Below are 26,017 nucleotides of genomic sequence, written 5' to 3' on the forward strand. Positions count from 1 at the left end.
CCATAACCAGAGAATGTTGGGCACTTTCTTCTCTGCAGAAATGTTTTTGCATTTAAGTTTAGGTAGATTTAAGAGAGGAGTGTAAGGAGAGAGTTTCTGTAACCAGAGGAGGGGAGGCTTCCCCGCCTGCCTCCGGAGCTTCTCCTCCAGGGTGATCTGGCAGCCATTCAAGGCAGCCTGAACTTTCTGAGAGACTTGATTTCCTGTTCCCACTGCCTCAGCCGACTGGAGGACTAGGGTGACCCGGGGTGGGGAGCAAGGGACACTGGTTAGTTTAGGATCAGCGGGTGGGAACTGTTTATCCCAACATGCTTAGAAATTCTTCCAGCAGCAACTGTAAAAATAAAAGTCTGAACTGTACAAGAAACTTAAGTTATTTCAACAGTGAACTTCAATCATGAGATTCTTGAATATCTTTTGGGAAGACAAGTTATTTTGTTTGTTTCATTCATTTAAAATATAAAACAACAGACTTCTTATAATGCAGAGGGGACCTCACTGTCACCTAGTTCAACTCACATATTTTACAGATGATGCAGAGTTCAGAACTATTCATTGACAATGGCTGGGGGGATGGGAGCAAGATCCATGTTTCCTGGCTCTGAACTCAGTGCAATTTCCTCCATGGATTATAAAGAAGTGCAATTCCAAATGCCACGCCTTAGGGGGAAATTTACTATATGTAAATTATACCTCACAACCTGACTTAAAAAAAAAAGTATATGTTATCCCTGCTTCCTCCTGAACCTGGGTCTGCCTGACACCAAAGCCCCGGGGCTTTCCGCTCTCTGCCTCTCAGTAGTCTTATTGTCATTCCTGTGAATCCATGGTCCTTTAGTGGTTTATGTTTGAGGAGGGAGCTGTGGACTGAATAAACTATGCAGCACAAAGGCATTAACCATGGATTAATGGGAAAGAAAAGCTTGCTGAGTTCTGAGTCTGACGGGTCAAGAGCTTCTGATGGTGTCATGCAAATTTCACTTCCCAATGAAATCAGTCACTCTTCGTGTAGAGGGGCCATCATATCTTAGCCAGTTCCTGCTTGGGGTTCAGAAGAGAAAACAAAACAGTTTGCCCCATGGTGGGAAAGGGACATTTGGTATTCTCCTTGGCTTCCTAGCTAATTACAAAGTGTTAATGACATTCAAAGGAAACTTGCCTCCTTCAGGGCTTTACAAATAAGGAAGGGCGGGGGAAGGTGAGCCAAAGAACAGACAGGGGCTCCAGTGAAACACAGGGCACAACCAGTCAGCTCCCAGAGCGGGAGGCAGCCTTAATTTACAAAGGAAATAGACACCCCAGCACAGGCTGAAATTGGGTGGGACCAAGAGTTCTTAAACTAATCACAGCTGGTTTCCAAACCTCAAAGATTTGTTATTGCAAAAACATTCTCAAGCAGTAGATGAATAGATTGAATGGCGACAGAACAAAGAAAAGATGGAGACATTTTCCCCACAGCGGCTTCAAGACAGGTTCAGAGAGGTATGAACTAGCAAAGTAACACATTTATCCAATCAACATTTTTTACCCATCTCCTACACTGGGTCTGAGGACACAGCTATCACATAACATTTGACCTCCTCTAGTATCCTACAGAAAAACAACTAAAGCACCTTTGTGCAACTCAGAACTACAAGCTCTTCCTTATGATTTGGACAACAGGTGCCTTCAAAGAATGGTTCTTTTTCCTATATTTTCCTTCCCTTCTCTTAATGGAGAATTTTTTCTTCCACCCTAAAAAGGAAACACGACCATCAGTTTCCCAAATATGAAGAGGGAAATGCATGTGTGTATAAACAGTGGTTACCACCTAGTAGAATTTTAAGCCTTTAAGGATTTTCCCCCCTAACGATTGCAATTTCCTTCAGTTACTATTGTCCTATGTCTTATATCCAATGTATTATTTAGGTATTTCTTTACAGGCTTTTTAAGATTTACAGGTGTACCTGATCAAAAATAGCTGGAAAGATCTGAGATGTTTTTTACTGGATAATTTATTCCGTGTGTACCCAACAGCCAAGCACTTGGCAAATGACCAAAAATATGATTTATTTTTATTTATTTTGTTGAGACGGAGTCTCACTCTGTCGCCAGGCTGGAGTGCAGTGGCACAATCTCGGTTCACTGCAACCTCCGCCTCCCGGGTTCAAGTGATTCTCCTGCCTCAGCCTCCCCAGTAGCTGGGATTACAGGCGTGTGTCACCACACCCAGCTAATTTTTTATATTCTGGGTAGAGACAGGGTTTCACCATGTTGGCCAGGCTGGTCTCAAACTCCTGACCTCAAGTGATCCGCCCGCCTTGGCCTCCCAAAGTGCTGGGATTACAGGCATAAGCCCCTGTGCCTGGCCAAAAGATATGATTTAGAAAGCCAGAATAGCTCATGCAAGAAATAAGCAGCTGACAGATTAAAATGGCAACTTTATGCTTTAATGGCAACGTAAACTATCCAGAAGGGACATTTATTGGTTCAACAAGAATTGATTTTCTTCGCTCTCAACTATTAACAGGTCTTCTCTTTCTAAAAGATAGGAATGTGTGCTCCAGTAACTAATTTGTTTATGTGTAACTAATACATTGAGAGAATCTCTGTAAGACATCTTTCTCTGGCACTTATTTTATCTTGATCCTGGATGGAAGATAATGATAACCAAGTGACCTGTTTGTTGACTAGGGCACACTTCAAAGCAGGTATGGATATCTGATTTAATGTACATTAGCAGGACATCGATGCAAGCGTATGAGTACTGAGACAGGTAGGCAAGTGGCAGGGTGAACTTCACTCCTTAAAATAGTGAGCTCAAGAGACATAACTACCTAAGCTGTCTGATTTTGTTCCATATGCTCTTTTAAAGTGATATAAGGCAAAATATATTTAACTGGTTAATTAGTGAAAATGTACCAACAAAGGATGTCTGGTTAATTCATGGAAAATGGGAATTTTGAATAAATTTAAAGGTAATGTTTGAATTAGGCAAATAAAATTAATTCTTGTGTTTGCATAAACACAGAGATTGGAGAATTGCTGTGTATTCAGTGTTCTTTCAAATGACCGATCATTCATTTATTTAGTACATGTGTATTGTGCACCTCTTGTATGGGTGGGAACACACCAGGTTCCAAAAATAAGACTGGGACTATGATAAAATTTTTACTCTCAAGGGTAACAGTTAAGTAAATAACAGCCACAATATGGGGTTTGAGAGGTACACAACCACTAAAAGAGAGGAAAAGGGACACAATTTTGTTTGAGAACTAACAGATTCCAGAAAAGGTAAAGAATTAGGTGGTCTTTGACACAAGTCTTAAAAGAGTAAGCAGCAGGCACTTGCCACACATAGAGGAAAGAAAGTACAGCAGACAAAGAATAGGCCAGTCATGGTTATTAACTATCAACTAGTCCATCTTTACCACTTACTTGCTATTCGTTCCTGGACACAATTGATCTCAGGGAGGTAGTGAGTAGAATGGTGGTTACCAGAGGCTGGAAATGGTAGGAGGGATGTCAGGGAAAAAGAAATGCTGGACAATGGGTATAAACATACAGTTAGAGAGAAGAAATAAGCTCTAGTGTTCAATAGCACACTCGAGTAACTACAGTTATCCTGTATTTCAAAATACCTAGATGAGATTTGCAATGTTCTCGGCACAAAAAATGATAAAAGTTTGAGATGATGAATATCCCAACTACCCTGATATGATCTTTACATATTCATGAATCAAAATATCACATGTACCCCATATGTATTTACAACTATTACATATCAATAAAAATCATGAAGATATTGATAACTAATAGCTAACATTTATTCAACATGTACCATGTGTCTAACCTTCTCACCATCATTGTTTCCTCTGACACTCACAGTAACCCTCTGACACAGATACCATCATCACTGTCTGTTTTACAAATAAATAAGAATAAAAAGAATTGATTTCAATGTGTTTTGGGTGAGCAGCGCTGAGAGAGCCCTGATTCACTTGGATAAGAATGCAATGCGCTGTCTGGTTCTGGTTCAATTTTACATCTCAGAGCTTATGTACTGTGAGTGCAATAAATGAGGTGTGTGCACAGAAATTCAGGGCAGAGTTAAGCTCCTCCTAAGGAGTGAGTCAAGTATTTCTGATTTGACTGGATCACCTTAATTTAGATATCTTTACAAAGATATTAACCCATCAATCCAAGATGAAATTTTAACTAACATCAGGGAGATGAGATGGCCCTTTCCCTCTGGTATCAAAAGAAACCCTCTCCAAGAGGCAGAGGCAAGAGACTCTGTATCTCCTGGGTTTCAGTTGCTGAAGGAAAGGACTTGCCACTGGTCTGTGGGAAAACTTTCTTGGGAGCTGTCTTTGCGTTTGAACTCTGAATTTTGTTCAGTACATCATTGTTCTAAGGATATATTTAGTGTTTTGTGAGTGTACATTTCAACATTCAGCTGTTGAGTGAGACAGTATTACGAGACATGATGCTCTTGATATCAGCCATTCTTCAAAGGGGGCGTTTATTATGGAACAAAAGAAAATATGTGCTTCAATCTAGAATTTAAAAGCACTAACTGCAACGTTTCAAGCATATATAAATAAATGTTATCTGTCTTACCATTTTCGGGAGAAAAGTGAATCTTTACATTTGTTTTAGTGTGACTTGTTTCTGATATTCTAACCTAAAATTTCATGGTCACAAAAAAGTACAAATTAAATGTTCTCTTTATGAAAAATAAAACAGGGACTATAGCACAGGTGATGTGAGAAAAATAGTCACTAAAAAAAAAAGGAACCAAGAGTGAACAGTGAAGTAATCTATGGACTTGGGGTGATAATGATATGTCAATGTAAGTTCATGGGGTGTAAGAAAGGCACCACTCTGGTGGGGGATATGGATAGTGGGGAAGGCTATGGTAGGAGAACAGGGGGTAAATGAGAAATCTCTAGACCTTCAGATCAATTTGTTGTGAACTAAAAACAATTCTAAAAAATAAAGTCATATATATGTGTATGTGTGTGCATATATTCACATATACGTATATGCATATTATATATGTATAGATACGTGGAATGCATATATACATAAACACACACACACACACATATATATACACATTTATACACACACATACACACACCCCTAATAACTTTTAAGGACAAAAACTTTCTTCCCTTCAGAATATCTGCCAAAGTGACTTAAAGTACACCTTTACTCATTTGAGGTGGTAAGGGGTGGCATAAATATCAACTGTTTCATCACTAAGTACATTGTGTCCTAATTCTTGTCCTTCCACTATGGAATAAACCGTTATATAGCCCAGTGTGTATAATAGAACTCTCATATGGACCTCTGCAGATCTCAAATGAGGATCTTCTTAGAAACTTGAAGTAGTAGTTAGACTTATACACCAACACATGCTTTGGGTAAAAGGAAAATCCTTTATGAAAATGCAAACTTTAGGAATTAAATGCTCCCCATAAGGACTCACTTATTCCTGCATAAGTGATTGCAGGCAGAAAAACAGAATCTGAATGAACTTGTTTTTCTTTTTTTCTTAAACTTGGAAAACCTAGAAAAACAAGAGTGGTATATAGGGGCCAATTAAAATAAAAAGCACAAGGAAAAATGAGAGGAAGTCGCTCCTCTCCTCCCAATGGGAGTATTGTGTTTTGAACAATTCATGAATGGAATTTCAGAAACTCAGCAAAAGAATACATTTAACTGACTTACTCCAAATATATTCTGAATTTCATATTTACTAAATAAAGTGTTTCCAAATGAACATTTTGTATGTTGTTACATGTAACAACTGCACATTACAAAAGGAAAGGTAGGAGAATTCATCACTTAAGTTTTTAGATGCATGTATACTTAAACTTCCACATACTCCACAAATACTAAACTCGAAAAACAAAGCACCCTACATAATTTACCTTGCCACAGATGTGAAATAATTGTAAGCATACATAAATGTTAATAAAATACTTTGAATCAATGTTAAGGGGAGATATCACTGAATGGTGGACCAAAACAAACCAAATGGCAATTTGATGTCTGTGGAAATGACATACCCAGAAGCCGGTGGCTCAGCACTGATATTAATATATCTTGCTCAGTTGTCTCAATCATTTATAGTAGTTTAATTTTTTCAAGAACACAGATGTTAAGGTACTTTTAATAATTTTGAAAGGCCACAGAGTTTATCTATTTTTTGAAGTCTTGCTTTCATTGGAATTGCTTCTTTAACTTAATGAGTAAATACAAAGAATGCACAGATAAAATAAGGGTTTGTCTTCTTTTATTAGAGAAAAATGTACTTTTCCATGCCCGTGCTTTCCACATTTTGGAACTGATACAGATCCACAGAGGCCAAACCTAAAACTAAATTATCTTTAATGTTAAAATTTAATTGACTGTGTATGTAACTGTGCAATTGCTGCTTTCTCACAGAACTGTCTAGGGTTCATTCAACAGATCATAGAAACGTGGTCTGGCATTTAACAAACAGACTAATAATAGAAGAGATATACTAATTTATACAAGAATTAACTAAACACTGTCATGTGGTTTAGTGTAGCTCAAGTTATGCATGTATCATATAACATAGGTTCAAGTTCTTTTGTCAGTCACCAGAATAACAGAGGTTGAAGATACATCTGAATAAGTGCCAACTCTTGCTGCAGCTGTTTCAAAAAAATAAATTTAAGTAATTGCGATACACATTTCTACAAATAAAATATTCCAGTGCTTACATCAATCCTGAGTTTTTAAGATAAAATATGCACTACTTACAATTACCACAATATTATTTTGGAACATGGCAATTTATTTTTTAAGTTGACTCTCTTCACCAAAAAGAGGGCTTTCATTATACTCTTCCAAGTCCTCACACTCTAAAACAAAAAGTCTAGTTCACTGACAAACCATCACTTTACAACTCACATTTTAAAGAGAGTAAATTAAATGTCAAAAGGAAACAGCTTTTAATATTCAAAGGATGCTGGTCATTTATTTCAAATTTAAAAACTGTAATCAGTACATGGAGCTCCAAATACTTAAAATTTTTAATGCCAGATTTTAGTGAAATATTATTATAGCAGGTCCAACAGTCATGTACTTTGCTTGAAGAAAATGGTTTGATGAATATGTTATGGTCAAGATGGAGCAAAAACAGAAAAAGACTGGTAGTCTTAGATCATGAAATACCATATTTTTTCACCAGATAGTGACCCATTTGTTATCACTAATAGTCGACATAACATGGTTTCCACTGAAGGGATAAAATGGTCTGTGACATGACCTCATCAAGTTAGAGAAAACATAACTATGTTTGAAATATATACTATTCTCTCAACAAATAGTTCAACAGTTCCTACTCCCTAAAAAGTGGTATGTTAATGCTGAGGAAGATGTAAAAAATGAATACACAATCTCTTCCATATTCCTGTGACATGAGCAAATATGCACGAATAAAAAAAATAATACAAAACTTATGTAACTGCTGTGGAAGAGCAACTCACTCGGACATGTAGCCAAAAATGGAGACTGATGTCCACTTAGTTGGCAAAAGATTTCAATCGATCAAAAAAAAAAAAGGACTTTAAAAGCATTGTGAGGGAAGAGCATGAGCAAAGCATGAGAGTAATGGAGAGGTCGTTCAGAGAAGGCTGTCAACCTGGAGAGGCGGGAAGAAAGACAGAAGGCAGTAAAACAAGCCTAAGAGGGGGTCATGTAAAGGGGAGAGTCTCTGAATATCTAAGAACTGACATGTGGATACCACTGATAGGCTGGGAAGAGTGAAGGGCTAGAAGCATTTTAGGAAGGGAAGAGTTTTAGGAAGATAGTATTTCTGATCAATGAAGGGTGGCTCAGAAGAGAAGAGAGAACTCAGAAAAGAGTTTAATAGTACAAGCAAGGAAGAATGAGTTCTTGAACTAGGGTTGCCTCAGTGGCAATTTAAAAAAAAGAAATTTAAGGACCATTGCAGAGTAAAACTTGCCTCATGAAAACTGTATGTGAAAGATAATGGACTCAGAAGAGTCCAAGATGATACCGAAGTTCCTACCCTAAGTGGTAACATGTAGCATTAACATTGACAGGAAAACTTTTCTAGTCTCATGTTCATACCAATTAATAAATGGTTTCTGGGGAACATTATAGCAACATGTTCTCTACTTGTGACTTCTATATAAATAACCGTTTTGTGTATAGATAATCTTTGAGTTGCTTGAAAATTCTATTTTCAAACTCTTTTCCCAGTTTATTTAACACATCTCAGTTAGTGTAGAGGAGTGACATATGAACATGTCTTTCCACAAGGTTATTAAAAAGAATATCTTACCTCCCAGAAGGGAATTCCATTGCTTCCTAAATAATATACATCTACATGAAGAAGCGGTCATTGTCCGATGACAATTTGCTAATGTGCTGTACGACAGCAGATAATTCACAATTCACAACATGTTAATAATCTGCTGGCTTTCCCATTCTGTTATACATCTGAACCATCTCTTATGATTACAAATTGTCATGTAAAACCATTACTAGTCACTAATAATTTTGAAAGTGAATATGCCATAAAACACTCCTACATTACAGCAGAAAACAAAAGAGATACTCAGTAGTTACATTTGCCTACTTCCTATTTAACTAAAACTCTTGAAACAACACAAGTAAAAAAGACATCCAGAAAGGACTTATGGACTTTCTGCCTTCCACTAAAGATTTGTCGCTGATCTCCTAAAAACTGAAAATAAAGTCTTCATTAATGTGTTCATAAGGTATCAATTTTTATACACAAGATGTATATTTCTAGGTAAAATTTCCAATTTACCTTTTCCTGTTCTAAATAACTCCTACAAAACTATTCATGAATCCTAAAAATACTGTTTTATGTTATTTTATGTTATTTACTACTTATGTTAAATCTGGAACAACACATTCAAAGTGAAAATGGTAAGTAATTTAAAATGTATAACCAAAATGTCTTTCCATACATTCAGAAACAAGCAGATTGTCTTCTATTTTTATGCATGTGTTGTATTTTATAAGAACGTATTGTGTTACCAAATAGAACAGACCTTTGTGAATTGCTCGTGTGGTGGCTCAATCTCTTTCAGTTCCTTTCCCATCTTGTTGCCACCTCTTTTGTTGCTCTTGAAATATTTTCTAGAGGCACAAAACAAAAAAGTGATTAAAATTGGGTAAATTTTAATACTTATAAAACATTCTGCATTAAAGAAATACTCTTTAAATCAATACTTCTGAACACTTTCTTTTAGACAACGTTTATGACCAATTTGAAACAATTGTGTTCACCACTCATGTGCTAAAACAATAACCTTTTTCATCAGTCATGGAGTAAAGAATTTTCTTTCTTATACATATTCAACACATACGTCTTAATTCTTGATTTCAAATGAAGAGTATTTGATGACCCTTCCTATAATTTGTTGACCACAGATAGGTAAGATCTATACAGAAATTAACTAAGAAACATTCTTTCTTACTAAGATTTTAAACACCTGTTAAATCTTGGTCATTTCAATATGTACATAGATAAACCTTCCATTAATGATTGCCTTTCTGCACCTTGACCTAATCTCCAACAATAGTGTTCTCCTCTCCTCTACGTGGCACTCACAGTCATCCCCTAAATTTTGTCATTCCCAGTGACTGCAGTATCTACATAATATTAATAATAGCAATGATAAACAGCAACCATGGGTCAGATCGCATCCTGAAAAATTTAAATAAACCTGTTACACAGGAACCCTTTAATCCTCCAAACAACTCTGAAATAGGTACCCTCACCATGTCTCCTTTCGTATATAAAGTAACTTTAGCACAGAGATAAATAATATGCCCATGGTTCCTGAACTAGCAATGGTCAAACTGGAATTGGATCCCAAGCAGTGGGGCTCCAGAGTCGCAGCCCTTGACCACTGCACTCATCTGTTTCTCCATCTTCCCAACATACAGCCACTACCTTCCTGCCACTGTAGGTCACTCACTTCAGTACTACAGCTCAGGAGTCTGTAGGGACCTGACGCCTATTGAATGGAGCACTTTTCACTGCCCAATGCCCCACCCCCATGTGCTCAGGTAACTCAGCCCCAGCTGAAATTCCACAGCCAGTCATCATAACCCCATCCCTGCCTCTATGCCCTGTCCAACTCTCCCTCTATCAACATGCTCGGCTACACCCCAACCCAGGAAATTCCAACCCTACAGCTGCTCTTGCACAAATATGCCAACTGAGTTCACTTTAACTTCTTCATCGCTATGATGCTGACTTCAGTTGGACCCCTAATGCTGCATGGCAATTATATTCCCCTAGTCCATGAGTCCACTAATGGGCGACCCTCTCTGGGCTCATGCTCTCTTCCTTCTTTGCTGGATTTCTGCATGAACTATTACTACCTGAGACATTGATACAATAGGTTAATCATAAAGCTAAGCCTGATACCAACAATTTGTTCTTCCTTTTCTCCATCTCCTTCCTCATCTTTCTGCTCATCTGTGATGAACTCTTCAAGGACATTCGGCAACTTCAGAGAAATTCTATAATCACGTTTCTGCCTGTAACACATAATAAGTAACAAGGTCATACGTCATAGAGGGATGAAAAATTAATCCTATTCAAACCAAAACTGACTTGACATAGTTTGTACTATAAAGTAGCAAGGGAGTAATAGCAGCTGAAATCTTCTTTTTGGGAAAAGGTGAAATGAGTTACTGTCATTCTGAAAGGATCCCTTCCTAACTGACTACTAGAGCAGCTATCTTACATTCTTTACCTGCTGAAGACAAAGGAGGGTTTACTGCACTATAAATTTCCCAGAAACAATCTTTTTCTCCAAGAGCAGTTTACTTTTCATTTCTTCTTACTAAATAACATATGCGTTCTCATAAGGAGGTGCAAGAATATCATAGCCATTCATCCCGTAAGATTTCCCGAAAGAAATACTTCACTTAACTATTTCTCCACTTTGGCACGACAATGATCTAAAAGGAATAGTGAAAACAATTTAACTAAAATAAATAACTTATTTACAACACAAGGTTATCCCTTTCTACATAATTGAATATTGTTAAGAATCTACAGACTAAACGTTGAAGACATTTATCTTATATTCACCTACCGTATTTCTAGAAATGGATAAACATTAATTTTACAGGAAGACTTTTTATCTGGAAGGCAAAAAGAGGTCATCTTCATTGGCTTCTAGGTAATATCTCTCAATTCTGTTAAATTGAGGTTATAAAACTAAAGAAACTTACCTGTTTAGGGAACAATCAAGTAAAATATGTTGTTCCCTAGAGACACCAATATGTACAGGATAGTTCTGGAAATTATTTGCACCAATGAATACAAAGAAATGATATAAATATCATTATTCAAAAAAGCCAACAATCATACCTTTTTAGTTGTGTTGTTCTCAAAACATTTTTAATTCTGTTCTTTATTTCGCTGCAAGCTTTTGCAATCTTTTCAATCCTTTTTCTCTTTGCAGCAAGATGCTCTTTAATGTCAGCTAGATAGTAAATGAATATGCATTAAATGTTCATGTTGAAAAGTAGTTTCTTTGCATATATTAAAATCAATATGGGACTTGATGGTTCAGCAATATCAGAAGGACATTTAAAATGTAAAATGCAAAGATCATTTCAAAAAGCAAGATTTACTTACTTTATGTAAAACCTTTCAGGTATTAGTATTCCAATTTCAGTTGGTATAACAGCAAATCACTTAATTGACAGATAATGAAAAAAAGCAAATAATTAAAAGTTTCTATTTTTTAAGTGTGCAGAAAGGGTTACAAACACAGACTTTAATTTCTTTTTTTTTTTTTTTGAGACAGAGTCTCGCTCTGTCACCCAGGCTGGAGTGCTGTGGCACGATCTTGGCTCACTGCAGCCTCCGCCTCCCGGGTTCACGCCATTCTCCTGCCTTAGCCTCCCGAGTAGCTGGGACTACAGGCGCCCGCCACCACGCCCGGCTAATTTTTATATTTTTAGTGGAGACGGGGTTTCACCGTGTTAGCCAGGATGGTCTTGATCTCCTGACCTCGTGATCCACCCACCTCGGCCTCCCAAAGTGCTGGGATTACAGGTGTGAGCAACCGTGCCCAGCCACAGACTTTAATTTCTACATTTATAAAATGTCCTACAATTCAAAGGACATGTTTCCGTGAAATACTGTCACAACTCATTATGTAAAGCACAAAAAAGTATCTGATTTAATAAGACCATCAAAAGGGTAGAAATAACTTAATACACAATAAAGAAAGTATTTTTAATCAATAGTTGATGCTATTAACTATATTTTAATAAAAGAAGCAATGTCCATGGGTGTAAACATTTAGGTTTAAATAGATAAATACATTCAAAACACATTTGAAATATTTTCTGAGAGCTTTTTATATGACATTTTTATCCACAGTGCAGTGTTTCAGAAAACTGTAATACTGCAAGGAATGCTTTCCTAAACATGGTTTCACATGAGAGATCTACCATCAATTGCTGAGAATAGTTTTGAGCAATCATAAAAGAGCTGCACCATAATACAAATTTTTTTACATACAGTATCCATCTATAATGCTCATTGTATTAGACAAAACCGGCACTTTGTCACCACCAAGCAGAGCAAAGCTTTCCAAATATACTGCTTATATGAATTATCGCTATAGAAGAGCTGAAAACTAAAGTAAGCTTTTTAAAAATAAGAGTATTGTCTTCATAATCTCTACAGAAATTTTCTCAAACTTTTTTGAAAATATGGTCCCATAACAGTGCAACTAATATTTCACATGGCAATATAAAGTTTATGAGTTTTTGGATCCAATTGTATGCTTCTCACTGGGTAGAAAAGTTGTCTTTCCTTTTCTACTACACAGCTTGTTACTGGAATAATAATAGAAAATCATCATTTTAGAGAATTCAATTTTCTCTGGTACTTTAAAGAAAACAAAATTAGAAAGTTGTGACAATAGCTAAATTAGGAAGATGAAAAACTCATATTAAAAACTGAGTACATACGGACAGGAAGAGGTGAACAACACACACCTGGGCCTACTTGAGGTTGGAGGGTAGGAGGAAGGTGAGGATGGAAAACCACCCATCAGGTACGATGCTTATAATCTGGGTGACAAAATAATCTGTATACCAAACCCCTGTGACACGCAATTTATCTATATAACGAACCTGCACATGTACCCCCAAACATAAAGTAAAAGCTAAAAAAAAACCTGATATATGACTTAATGTGTGTACACTGAAAGGAACGAATAGAGCTGTTTCTCCTCCAATGTCCTCTAATATCCCCCAAACAATTAAATTTCCACGTGTATGAAAGAAAAGCCACCCCTCTTGCTTCACCATTATTAGAAGCATTCTCACATTCCACATCAACAATTAAAAAAGTAAGTAAGAAAAATTATTAAACAGATTACATTAAATGCTATATATGAGAAGAAGGCATTTAAGACAGTCTTGTCATCCACTAATTCATATAACCTACTGTAAGGGTTGTATGGTTGAAAACAATTTTCATAAACCACAAATAGCTCGTAAAACATACCTGCAATATCTTCTAGCTCCTTGGTATCAACCCTGTAACAAAAAGTTGCAACACAATTTTAACATAATGCTACACAAAAGGCCTTGTTTGTTGGGAAGAAATGTCTTGTGTGAAATGTTCTGCATAGAACATAACAGTGATGACATGATCCAAAGCTGACTTTTCCTAAAAGACCTTATCTGACAGGCAAAAGGGACTTAAACACTTTACCCCGTGTGTTCATCTGTTTCAGCAAAAGATCCTCTTTCCCCATGCTCATCAGTTACATCTCCCTCCTTTGTCTCTGTAACAGGTTTTCTTTCCTCATGCTCATGACTTACTGGATCCTTTCCTGCATTAAAATAAAAAAGACAAACCTTTTTTAGAGGAAGACGCTGTTGTGGACATTTTTCATAGAGAAACGTACTATTTGTAGACTTTTTTGGCTCTCCGCCAATTAAAGCTTTACCGCAGAGCTATACATGGAATCGCCGGCTCCTAACCATTTTACGGAGGCATTTTTGGAAGCCCTTCGGGTTCAAGTCCCAGTAAACAACGTTCACAGGTCAGATCCCTTGGATGTCAGGACCGCATCCATGGAGAAGAGCTGCTCTGAGAGCATCTGTAACCCTGCTATGAGGGGGAGCCTCCCACGGGAAGCCTAAGGCCCTTGAGCCTGCTTTGAAAACCTGGGGCATCTCAGCACATGCACGGTGAGCTCCAAAGCCACGAAGGGGCCGGGGGCCTCGGGCTGCCCATGTGCGCCCCGCCCAGAAAGCAGACAGACTGTTGGGCGTGCACCTTCTTCTAGGTCCCCTTGGGCTGTGTTTACCTGCAAGCTCCATTTCCTGGGCGGCCATAACTTGAACCTCCAACTGGTCCTTGGCAGCCATCCTGCTGCCCTTCCTGCCCACGGGCTCCGTGGCTGACTGGCCTGGGAAGCTAGAGGCGACCTCTGAACCTGGTGAGTGCAAAGACACACTAAGGACACTAAGGAAACGAGGCGTGTTAAATGAAAATCATCAGGATCGCAGGTTCAAGGGCGCCCCGGGTCTCCCGTGGGAGCAGGAGGGGACGCGGAGAAGATGCCATCATCCCCTCCTGTCCTGGCCCGTCCAGCGCTTCCCCGGGGCTGGCTGCAGAGCTCGCAGAATTCCGCGGCCTCTGCGGGATTCTTGCAGTGCCCTTGGGACAGAGCCTGGCCCTGCCCCTGGGTTCCCCAGCGACCCAGTGGAGTCGGGAGGGCCGCGGGGTGACACAGGATCTCCCCAGCCATCTCCATGGGAATGAGCCGGTACGCACCTGTTTCTGACAGGGGCAGGGACTGCCCATTCGCCAGCCTGGACGCCCAGGGGACCCCTGGTGACCCCAAGTATCCCGTCCTGATGGGCAGCCAGACAAGACGGACCCACGTTGACCCCCCGACCCCCCCCCAAACGCTGCACACATGCACAGGCCTCCGGGACCCTCCTGGGTCCTGGGGACCACTCAGGCAGCTCCAACTCCCTGCCCTGACCCAGGCCCCAGGCGACAATGCCTGGGCCATTTCCTCACAGATCAGCCTGGCTGCCCCGCCCTTCACACCCTCTTCCCCAAAGGGCCTCTGGCCCGCCTTCCCCGCATCCCCACCGAGGGCGTCTCACCTGAGGGAGCCCTGATGTTGCTCCCTCAGAGGACCTGCAGAGGCTGGCACCGCGAAGCTCCTCCGAGGGCCTGGGTCCTCTGTTCTCACGAGAGCAGCAGCCGCCCCGGCTGCCCGCGCTCCTCGCTGATTGGTCGGCCCAGTGCGCATGCAGGTGGCGGGCGGCATGGGGCCACGCCCCCTGCAGGCACACCCTCCCCCTCACGGACTGTCCATGGCTGCTGTGGACTCATTGGGTGGCTCTCTGAGGCCTCTGTCCCCACGATATTCCAGCTCCTCATCCTGGTGAAGGAAGCAAGGACTCGGGAGTGGTGAGTGCCAGGGGACCCTGCCCTAAGGAATGGAGGCCAAGTGAACGGGGCCTAGGACCTTGCCCCCAGGCTCGTTCCAGCCACTCCTGCCCCTTTGGGTGGAATGGCCATCACCCTGCGGGTGGAGCCCAGGCTCCCTCCCATGTCCTGTGTGCTTCCAACACGCCCAGCTGCATCCTTTTTATCAATGGATTGTGCTTTTATGTTTTATCTAAGAAAATTGTTGACTCCCAGCAGGGGCAGGTAGTTTTCTCCTATCCTACTCCATTCCCTCACACTGGGCATTGCATGATTCTGCAGTGGATATACAAAGTTAAAGACTTTATGTCTAGATTTCTCATGATGTGGTCATTTCTTTTCTTTCATTTTTCTTTTTTCTTTTTTTTTTTTTTTTTGACAGGGTCTTGCTCTGTCACCCAGGCTGGGCTGCAATGGTGTAATCACTACTCACTGTAGCCTCAACTGCCCGCGCTCAAGGGATCCTCCCACCACAGCCTCCCAAGTAGCTGGGACTACAGGCATGTCCCACCATGCCCAGCTAATTTTATTTTATTTATTTATTTATTTTTAGAGACAGAGTCTTACTCTGTCCCCAGGCTGGAGTGCAGTGGCACGATCTCGGCTTCCTGCAACCTCTGCCTCCCTGGTTCAAGCAATTCTCCTGCCTCAGCCTCCCAAGTAGCTGGGACTATAGGCGCACGCCGCCACGCCTGGCTGATTTTTTTTTTTTTTTTTTTGTATTTTAGTAGAGACAGGGTTTCACCGTGTTGCCCAGGCTGGTCTCGAACTCCTGAGCTCAGTCAGTCTGCCCGCCTCAGCCTCCCAAAGTGCTAGGATTACAGGCATGAACCACCGCTCCTGGCCAATTTTGTTTATTTTTTGCAGAGATGAGGTCTCACTATGTTGCCCAGGCTGGTCTGCAACTCCTGGGCTCAAGCGATCCGCCCGCCTCAGCCTCCTAAAGTGCTGGGGTTACAGGCTTGAGCCATCGTGCCCAGCCCGATTATTTCCACAGCTGGGTTGGAAGCCATCTTTCCCTGACAAGGCAGCTCACCTTTATATCTAAGAGTTCTCTATAACCTAAAGAGAATCCCTAATTACTGACACTAAATACCACCAGCTGTCCCCATTTCCCCACAATCTACTTGGTACCCAAATTAGCCAATGAGACATCTTGGGGAATTTTAAGCCATGATTGCTTCAGGTTTCTCTCTCTTTCGAGCTTAAGATGTGTAACATTAAGAAAGAAGACAAATCTTGCAGAGGGCTTTGTGCAACCAGTCTTACAGCTTTCTATCCCATCTGGATCAATGTAATTTTCATATGCTTCATCAAAGATTTCAGCTGAAAGTACTATACCAGGTTCTGTCTATAATTGGAAACACATACACACATACACCAACTACTGGTATTCAGCTAAGAATTCAATGCTGGCTCATTTTTCTTTAAAAGAATGTCAAATCAAGGAACAATTCTCCATCACAAAGTGGAATTTGATGTCAGGTGAAGACAAATGGGGATTACAGAGCTACTTCTTTGGCATAACAGCCTAGAAACAAACTGAAAAGGATTCTGCAATTTTAAATAGGCACAAAGACATTCTTTTCAGAACACCAAGTGTCCAAGTTACAAAACCCTGAAGAAATTCTTTTAAACTTTGGATGGAGCAATTTATCTCTTTTTCCCAACTGGAGTATTTGTGAGATGTCTCCCAGAAAGAAACAACTCAATACACAAATCATTAAGCCTTTGTAAAGGGAGGAAGTCTATTTGAAGCAACTCTGGGTTGCGGAAACAGGTTTTGTGAACTAACCAAAGCCTTTAGGGCAAACATGGTCACTTCAATTTTTTTTTTTTCCCACTAGAGGTTATCTACAAAGACCACAGGAAATGTTTAAGCAAATTTAAAGGAGATTTCTCAAGAGTTATTAGAATAAGTACTTTAATTTAGAGAATTGGTTTCTAATAACTGGAGGTGTAACCCCCTCCTACCCCCAACACCCTACTCCACCCTATGTGAATTGACTGACAAGTAAGGATAATGCTTCATAACAAATGTAGAAATAACACCAATTTTCAAAGCAGCCCTCACTCTTCTATTGCTGTCATTAAGAACTAACTGAAAGAAATGCACTGCTTGGATTCATAGACAGACAGAGGGACAAACAGATGGCTAGATATGTGATAAGCAACAACAGTATGGCCAGATGTCAATGATAGAATCTAGGTGATGGGAACATGAATGTTTTCCATGAAATTCTTTCAACTTTTCTGTGTATTTGAAATTTCTAATAATAAAATGTTGGAAAACAACATGTATGCTGTGCATACATGTAGAGACATAGGCTCAGACCCTCTCATCAAATGGCAACAACAATTGTTCATTTTGAAAACATCTAGAAATCTAAGATGTGATCACTGGGTTAAAGACTGTATACATCCATACTCTGTAGCCTGAATTAGTGATTTACGCTCTAATAGCCAATCAAATTGCTCATTTATCAGACAGGGCTGGTAGCACAGGAGATGGAAGTTTCTCTGCTGATAATCCTCCAGACGTTTGAGGGCTTCATGTTCATTCACATTTCAGCCTTTTCTCCAATTCTTAGACTCTTAGCAAAAGTTTATACTCGAATGAAGCAGCAAATTCTAGGCTCCAGCTGTTTAAGAATGAATGAAAACATTCATGTCTTTCAGAAAGGCTTATCTGATGTACTCTGCACAAATACCCTCACCTATGATCTTCTCTGTGCAAACTCTATCAGGGCCCTTCTCAGTGGGCTTTTCAAGACTCTCTCCAATTAGATTATAATTCCTTCAAGGGCAGGTCTTTGTCAACTTTGCTTCTCCAGCACTCAGCGCCATGGCTGGCACATGGTGGGCCGTCAGCAAATGCTGTGTTTGCTATACGTGAATTAATGCTGTGCATACATGTAGAGACATAGGCTCAGACCCTCTCATCAAATGGCAAAGTCTACCACCCAGTCCTGAGAATTACATCTCAGCTTAGAGCAGAGGGGCCCCACCCTGGCGTCTCCTGGAATCACTCAGGAAATTTCAAAACACACTGCTGCCTCCATCCTACCCACTAAGTTTCTGATTAACTGTGTTGGAGTTTGGCCTGGGCCTCAGGACGGTGAAATCTCCCCAGATGATAGAAAAGTGCAGGCAGCACTGAGAATTCCAGGGTTTGGACTTTACAAGCCACCAGGTAATTTCATTTTCACTCACCTTCTTTCCTTTGATTCTCAGGACAAGCTACCAGGTCTCCAGGACTGAAGGTTATCATCTAAGTTGGTGTTCTCAACTGGAGGCGATTTACCCCCCACCCAGGAGACAGTTGGCAATGTCTGGAGGTATTTTTGGTTTTTATAGCTGGGGATGGGGGTGCTACTGGAATCTTGTGGGTAGAAGCCAGGGATGCTGCTAAACATCCTACAATGCACAGGACAGCCCCACCACAAAGAATTATCTGGCTCCCAATGCCAACAGTGTTGAGATTGACACACCGTGGTCTATGGTAACTGTTTGATTAGCTAGGGCTTTCTTAGCTAGAGTAATCTCCTTTTTGCACTCTGTGCCCATGCCCTGAGTAAGACAGACAACTGCACAACAATTTATCCCAGAGTACATCTGAGTCAACTGTTGATGTTACATGTTGGATTGGCTCCAGCAAATGAAGAGCTGACATTCAATGAGTGTTCCCTTTGTGCCAGGCACATTATATACATGGCCATATGTTCCTCCCAGCAATCTGGGAGAGGAGAGAGATTCTAAATTTGAAAACTAAACTCATTATACAAGGTCATGCATTTAATTAAGAGTTTGAACCTTTAACAACAAGCCCAAGACAAGGAGTTGCCTCAGATCCTTAATAGGTTGCCTTAATATAAAATTAATAATGCCCTATGTTTCTCAAAACCCCTTGTTTGAGAAACTCAAGCCTAACACATTGTTCATCTTTCCTGCTCTTGCAGAATGGAATTGATGTGCCATACAAGCCTAATCATTAACAAGACATACCAGTACCCTTTCCTTGTAATCCCACCCTCCTCCACCCCACTAAGGATCCACAAAATACCTTTTAAGGTGAAGTTCCAATCACTTTCACATTATTGTAACCATGGCTTATGGCTTATCTTTGTTGTCATGGATAATTGAGGCAACTGTGTGGGAATGGCAACTTATGAATGATCTAACAATAGGCCTATTAATATAGCAGTAAATGTCACAGTTATAATAAAAGGTACCATACTTACACAGAGTATTGCCAGACCTAGCACAATTCCTGGCATAAGGTTTGTGCTTAATAAATGCTTGCTGGATGAACCAATGAAGTAATCAAATGAGTCGGAATAAGATGCAACATATTCAAGAGATTTATAGAATGGAAGATCTATAGTGTTTTTATTTGAGATCGATATGTTCTGTAGTGGTAACCGAAAGAGTAATAGCTGACTTTCACTTTATTATTAAAGCACAAACAGGGCATATCAATATTTATTTTCTCATCCTTATTTTGGTATCTAATAGTGCCACCAAATATTATATTATATGGATAACTATAATTCCGATACTTACATCAACATTTTTAATCTTGTTGGTAGACATTATATTTTTCTTTAAAAGAGAGATAAACAGCTTAACATGGGAAATATTTGACATTATTAGATTTCTTAAAAAGAATTTTTGTGCTTTTATCAGCATCTGACCAATATCTACAGGACTGACTTCTCCTTTAGGCACAGAGTTGAGGGACCACAAAATTACTTCAATTTCTCTTAAAAATAACAAGGGAAAATATTAATATAATTCAGTATGGATTATATTATCTTTATACTAACAGAGTCACAAAATATAATTTTTTAATGTATTATTTTATATATATAATTATTATTTTTTTAGTGGAGGAAAGGCTTCACGAAGGAAAATGCATCTATAGCTTATTAATGTCATGCAGTGGCCCTGGATGTCACCTCTCTACATTCCACTGCCCTACTCTTTTCAAATAGCTTTTTTATTAATTAGTTTCCTTTTTTTTTTTTTTTTTTTTTTTTTGAGGCAGAATGTCATTCTGTCGCCCAGGCTGTAATGCAGTGGTGCGATCTTAGCTCACTGCAACCTCTGCCTCCCAGGTTGAAGCAATTCTCATGCCTCACCCTCCCGAGTAGTTGGGATTACAGGCATGTGCCACCGCATCCGGCTAATTTTTGTATTTTTATTAGAAACAGGGTTTCACCATGTTGGCCAGGCTGGTCTCAAACTCCTGACCTCAAGTGATCTCCCTGCCTCAGCCTCCCAAATTGTTGGGATTACAGGCATGAGCCACCACGCCTGACTATTAATTAGCTTCCGATTTCAATTTTTTAAGAAAACTTTGTTTCATCATCTAAGTGACTATCTGGGTCCTTCAGTGGAGGGAGACTGGTAACTGATGACATTTTACAACCAATTGATGACAAGGGACTGACTCAAGGTGTGGGGGAGGGGTGAGGGAATTGGTGACGTGGGAACATAGCAGTTTGCAGGTCAAAAATGAGGGGTTAAAGATGCCTCCAAGACTCTCAGCTCAGGGACATGGGCAGATGAAGGTGCAGTTAGGCTAGCAATGTCAAGTAAATACCATGAGAGAGGAGATGGTCAATGGCTCTCACGGAGATTGGGACTGGAAAGGGCTAAAGCTGAACCTGGCAGAGATAAAGGAAAAGGAGCCAGCACTACAGACTGAAGAGACAGGAGGACAAGCTGGAGAGTTGAGTCCAGAGACAGAAGAGGACAGAGATTTTAGAGTTGTGGAGAGTTCAGTAAATTCAAAGACCTCAGAGGGATGAAGAAGGTTGAGGCTTGGATGGCCACCATAAGATTTGACCATCACGAGGGTACCCAAGGTCTTTGCCTGGTAGTTTCTGAAGTGTGATGTAGGGAGAAACCAGATTGCAGTGGATAAAAGATATGAAGGCGGGGGCTGGGCGCAGTGGCTCATCCCTGTAATCCCAGCACTTTGGGAGGCCAAGGCGGGCAGATCACCTGAGATTGGGAGTTCCAGACCAGCCTGACTAACACGGAGAAACCCCGTCTCTACTAAAAATACAAAATTAGCCAGGCATGGTGGGACGTGCCTGTAATCCCAGCTACTCAGGAGGCTGGGGCAAGAGAATCGCTTGAACCCAGGAGGTGGAGGTTGCAGTGAGCCAAGATTGTGCCATTGCACTCCGGTCTGGGCAACAAGAACAAAACTCCGTCTCAAAAACAAAACAAAACAAAAAAGATGGAAAGGCAGAGAGGGAGAGAGAGGGTTCCTCCCTCCAGGGCCAGGACATTTTAGAATATAAGTTGAGGAAAAGGAATTGGTGGTCACAGAGAGAGAAAGAACAAGCTGGTGTTTTTTCTTCTCTTCTGTCTCTCAAAATTATGCTTTCACAGAGAGTATGAAGTGTAATCATCTAGACCAGGGGTCAACAAACTACAACCCCTGGGCCAAATCTACATAGCTGCCTATGCTTGTAAATAAAGTTTTATTGAAACACAGCTATGCCTATTTTTTCTCTCTTTTGTCTATGGCTGCTTTTACACTACAGTAGCAGAGTTGAGTAGTTGTAACAGAAACTGCCTGCCCAGCAAAGTAAAAAATATTTACTATCAGGCCCTTTCGAGAAAGTTTGTCAACCACTGTTCTAGGTCAACTCCCTTGATATAAAGATGGAGAAACAGACATTCCATTACATTTCTATGTTCATTTGCTTTCTTGTTCTGACAAAGCAGAAGTGTCTACCGGAATTATTAATTACCTAGTGTATGCGTCATCACCCACTGAATTTTAAGAGCTATGTATACAACTTTCATGCAAAGTGTCACCACTTTCTATTCTCATCAAGGTGAATTTTCCTCCCCATTCTAGCTGCAAAGCAAAACTAAAGCTAAATGCACTTCCATCCTTTATACAGGCCTCATTTCAGCAATGTTTGTTGGGCACATTAATGAGCAGAAATGACTTAGCTTTATAACTGCTTCTGAAAATCTTGAGATTTAAGTGAGAAGGAAATACTTTTGTTTCTGCCTCCATCCTATTTTAGTGTAAATCAAAGTTAACAGCTCATGGTCTGGTTGGCAGTTCACAAGAAAGGGCGAGGTTGCCAGAAAATCAAAATCACACAATTTCCTGTTTTTGAAGATGTATTTCAACAAGATCACTGAGAGCTTCAAAGACAAAAATGGCTGTCTGCCAGGGCCAGACCAGCTCCAAGCGCCTTTGTTTGCTTTATTGTTTGATGCTGAGGGGTCAAAGCACTCTTTCTATTGTGTTGTCTCTGCTCCCCACCCCTGTTATTTTTTTTGTTGTTGTTATTCTATTAAGATTCCTGCTGAAAATTAAATTAAGCTTCCTAAGTTCTTCTTTGTTGATCCTAGCAACTAATTATAGAGAAACCAGAAAAGATTTGCAATACTTGGGCATTTTTTAAGATTGTAATTGGCTACCCACAAAGTTGGTGGAACAATAGTTTTTGGGGAAAAAAAGAGATTCGTACTGATTTTTCAATGAATATTTAAAAATATCTTGGCATCAAAATTCCTCCCATTAACCTCATTTGAACATAAAAAGGTCCCTTTTACTGGTGCTATAATTGACTTTCCCCACCCTATTCTTCCCTGTTCATCCTGACACATCCCCCACACTCCGTTTTAAATTGTGGCATAGGACCCATGTGGCCCCTGTAATCTTCCTTCAAGGCCAAAGCCGACTCCCAGAATACTCAGCATGTCAGTGCCACCTGCTCACAACTTTGGCACTGGCATGGTTGAAAATTCTTCCAAGTAATGTCCAAGAGGGATAGCTTTTTTCTGGGATGAGCTTGCAAAGCCAACTCAGAGGGTCACAGTAGATTGTGATTACATCTTTCAGAGCAGAATGTCGGGGGTGGGGCGGGGGCGGGTGCATCTATGGAACGGTTAGAAAACTCGCTGACTAGAGGGGCTCCCAAGATCACTTTGTGTGAATTCGACTGCTATAGAAACTATGAAATTGGTTCACTGATCTGAACTTTGGGTCAAGACCCATGCAGCCATTCTAGACATGAATGGTTTTGGCCTTCAGTCACAACAATTGAAAATTAGACCCTTGAAGAAGGCAGGAGTCTCTGAAGGGGCTCCTCAGAATGTGAGGGCTTTAGGCCTGGAGTACCTTAAAGGTTTTCTTTAAAAAACATTTGGATATGGTGACCACATTGTCTGATTTTTAAATTCAAGAGGCATCCATAGAGAATTTGAAGTGCTACTTGCCTTCGAGCCAAGATGCGTTATTTACGGTAATGGCATTTCTATAATCTGTCACTCCTGAATCTCCTGTAAGAGAAGCATTTTCTTAGGCCTGATCATTCCTGTCTAGGTTGACTATCAAGAGCTGTACACCTCTGAGAACAGATCTGGGGTGTGAGGTCACACAGGTGGCCTCAAGGGGAAGACAGAGCTCTCTAGTTGTTGTAACTTAAGGTAAAAGGTGTGTAACCCCAGTACTACAATGAGAGGGCCAGCTCACTCTGAAACCTGGTGATATCACCTGAAAGTCCTTGAGCTGAAATGGAGCACCTGCAGTCATTATGGTGATCACACCCCTCATGTCTTGCTAAATATCCCTCAACAGTTTAGTGATATAGGTAGTCATTAACAGGTCCCTAATGAGATTTTATTTTATTGTATTGTATTTCATTTTTGAGACAGAATCTCACTCTGTGGCCCAGGCTGGAGTGTAGTGGTGCTGTTTTGGCTTACTGCAACCTCCGCCTCCCGAGTTCAAGCGATTCTCATGCCTCAATCTTCCGAGTAGCTGGGACGACAGGTGCACGCCAGTACACCCGGCTAATTTTTTGTATTTTTAGTACAGATGGGGTTCGCCGTGTTGGCCAGGCTGTTCTTGAACTCCTGGTCTCAAGGGATCCACCCACTTCAGCCTACCAAAGTGCTGAGATTACAGGCATGAGCCACCCACTGTGCCCGGCCCCTAATGATATTTTAGTTAAGAAGATTTTCTGTATTTATGTAAGGCCATGCCAGAAATGTTTTCTTTAAAGATGCTTTATTCATAGAAGTTTGCTGTCCTCTTTACGGTTTAAAATAATTGATTACTAGTTAGACACTATCAGTGTTTAATATTGAACCATCTCTGAATCACCAGTTTATTCTGTTCAGATTTCAAGTGGGTCAGGATTCACATACACATTTGAAGTTTGAATCCATATTGGTTCCTCAACACAAAAGGAACTGAGACACAGAGATAATCTTTGGCCATTAGTATTCACCATGGAAATTACCAAGATAATCTTAAAACGTCATAAAAATCAAGAAGTTATAGTTTAGTCCCATAAAATCAGAATCATAACGTATTTCAAATCAATATCACTCTAAATCAGTATAATCCGTTCATCACACCATGAGTAACAATTACCCGTTTGAAAGAGCTTCCTGAGTAGCCTGAAGGCTCAAATCAATGTTTTCTACTTAGTACAATCACAACATTTAAAAATTTTTTTATAATTCTAAAAATTATATGAGCTTAGGATAAAGAAATGACAGTTTACCCCTTCTCAGTTTCATTCTTCAGAAGGATGTTAACATTACCTTATGTTAACATGAACAATATGTTCAGAATATTGTTTACTATATTGTACTTACAAAAATATAACTGAAATCGGTTGATTTGCTCCTTAGCAACCCTGTGAGTGGAAGCATATTAACTAATATTTCTGTTTTCAAAAAATAGGATAATAATATACATCTGCACTTGCCTTTTGTCCTAACCTAATGATGTACTTTGGATATCCCTGTCTATTATTAGACATACATCTTCCTCATTTCGTGGTTACACAGTATTCCATTGTATGGAGATATTATATTTTAACCAGTTCCTTCTTGATGGCTATATATGTTGATTCTAGCTTTTTTCCCCCTTGGCTGATATAAACATTGTATTTTTATATCATTGTGCAGTTGTGAAAATGCCTAGAAATAAAATAACTGAATCAACTAGATCCAGTTATTTAAAAATCTTGTGATCTGTTTCTCAATTATTGCCCTCTCCAAAATTGTCCCAGTATATATTTTCACTCACAGGGCATGAAAGCCAATCCTAGTGTTTATGAAGTAAGGCACTTCTGTTAAAAGAGGTGTTACTGTTATAGTCTAGAATAGAGACTTTACGTGCATGCACTCCCTCTCTCTCTTTCTCTCTCCCTTTTTCTTTTATAGACTCTCTGAGCAGATTAGCAGACATTTTGTATTTATAGCACTCAGTGGCAAACTGCATGTGATGATTACTACCAGATTTCATCCTCATCCTTGATTGTGTGACATTGTTCATATACACACTGAACTTTGATTTGTGAAGATGGGCTTGATGATTTCAGGAAAATAGAGAAGACAAGATAAATTCTTAAGATCGCTATTTAGAAAACTTGTGTATTTGCTGATTTGGCATGTAGATATAGAATAATAAACCTTGTTACTGGTATTACAGATACCATG

At 40.0% G+C, this 26,017-nt stretch overlaps 1 protein-coding gene and 1 long non-coding RNA gene across 4 annotated transcripts in view, besides 1 other annotated feature; one reads left to right on the top strand and one right to left on the bottom strand.

Moving 5' to 3' along the window:
• Window positions 743–962: an enhancer, noted in NCBI's record as "active region_29430". NCBI's record gives its function as "activates an Ori minimal core promoter by ATAC-STARR-seq in GM12878 lymphoblastoid cells {active_cell/tissue: GM12878}" and the evidence as "EXISTENCE:reporter gene assay evidence [ECO:0000049][PMID:35858748]".
• On the bottom strand, window positions 6,270–15,273 carry FAM9C (family with sequence similarity 9 member C). Of its 3 annotated transcripts, none has more exons than NM_174901.6 (8): window positions 15,193–15,273; window positions 14,382–14,510; window positions 13,781–13,901; window positions 13,571–13,602; window positions 11,411–11,525; window positions 10,461–10,569; window positions 9,069–9,156; window positions 6,270–6,671 (listed from the first exon to the last, which is right to left on the bottom strand). In NM_174901.6, exons 2-7 carry the CDS (start codon window positions 14,440–14,442, stop codon window positions 9,094–9,096), a joined length of 501 nt encoding a protein of 166 aa, NP_777561.1. In that variant the 5' UTR covers window positions 14,443–14,510; window positions 15,193–15,273; the 3' UTR covers window positions 6,270–6,671; window positions 9,069–9,093. The 3 variants fall into 3 exon arrangements, with proteins under 3 accessions (NP_777561.1, XP_005274517.1, XP_024308116.2); XM_005274460.4 differs by having other exon boundaries at window positions 6,270–8,734; XM_024452348.2 differs by having other exon boundaries at window positions 6,270–9,156; window positions 14,852–15,273.
• Window positions 15,386–26,017, top strand: part of LOC105373133 (uncharacterized) — a 51,063-nt gene continuing 40,431 nt past the window's right edge. Inside the window, exons 1-2 of the long non-coding RNA NR_171577.1 lie at window positions 15,386–15,502; window positions 18,755–18,858. This is a non-coding gene — a long non-coding RNA (uncharacterized LOC105373133). The remainder of the gene's footprint in view (window positions 15,503–18,754; window positions 18,859–26,017) is intronic.

This window comes from Homo sapiens, chromosome X (genome assembly GCF_000001405.40).
Source record: "Homo sapiens chromosome X, GRCh38.p14 Primary Assembly".
Lineage (NCBI taxonomy): Eukaryota > Metazoa > Chordata > Mammalia > Primates > Hominidae > Homo > Homo sapiens.

Coding starts and splice junctions, on each gene's coding strand:
- FAM9C (XM_024452348.2), bottom strand. CDS start 15,095: ATGGCCCAGGCATTGTCGCCTGGGGCCTGGGTCAGGGCAGGGAGTTGG. Junction 14,511..14,851: donor CCTGCCCCTGTCAGAAACAG/GTGCGTACCGGC, acceptor TGCACTCACCAG/GTTCAGAGGTCGCCTCTAGC. Junction 10,570..11,410: donor AGAACAACACAACTAAAAAG/GTATGATTGTTG, acceptor TATGTGTTACAG/GCAGAAACGTGATTATAGAA.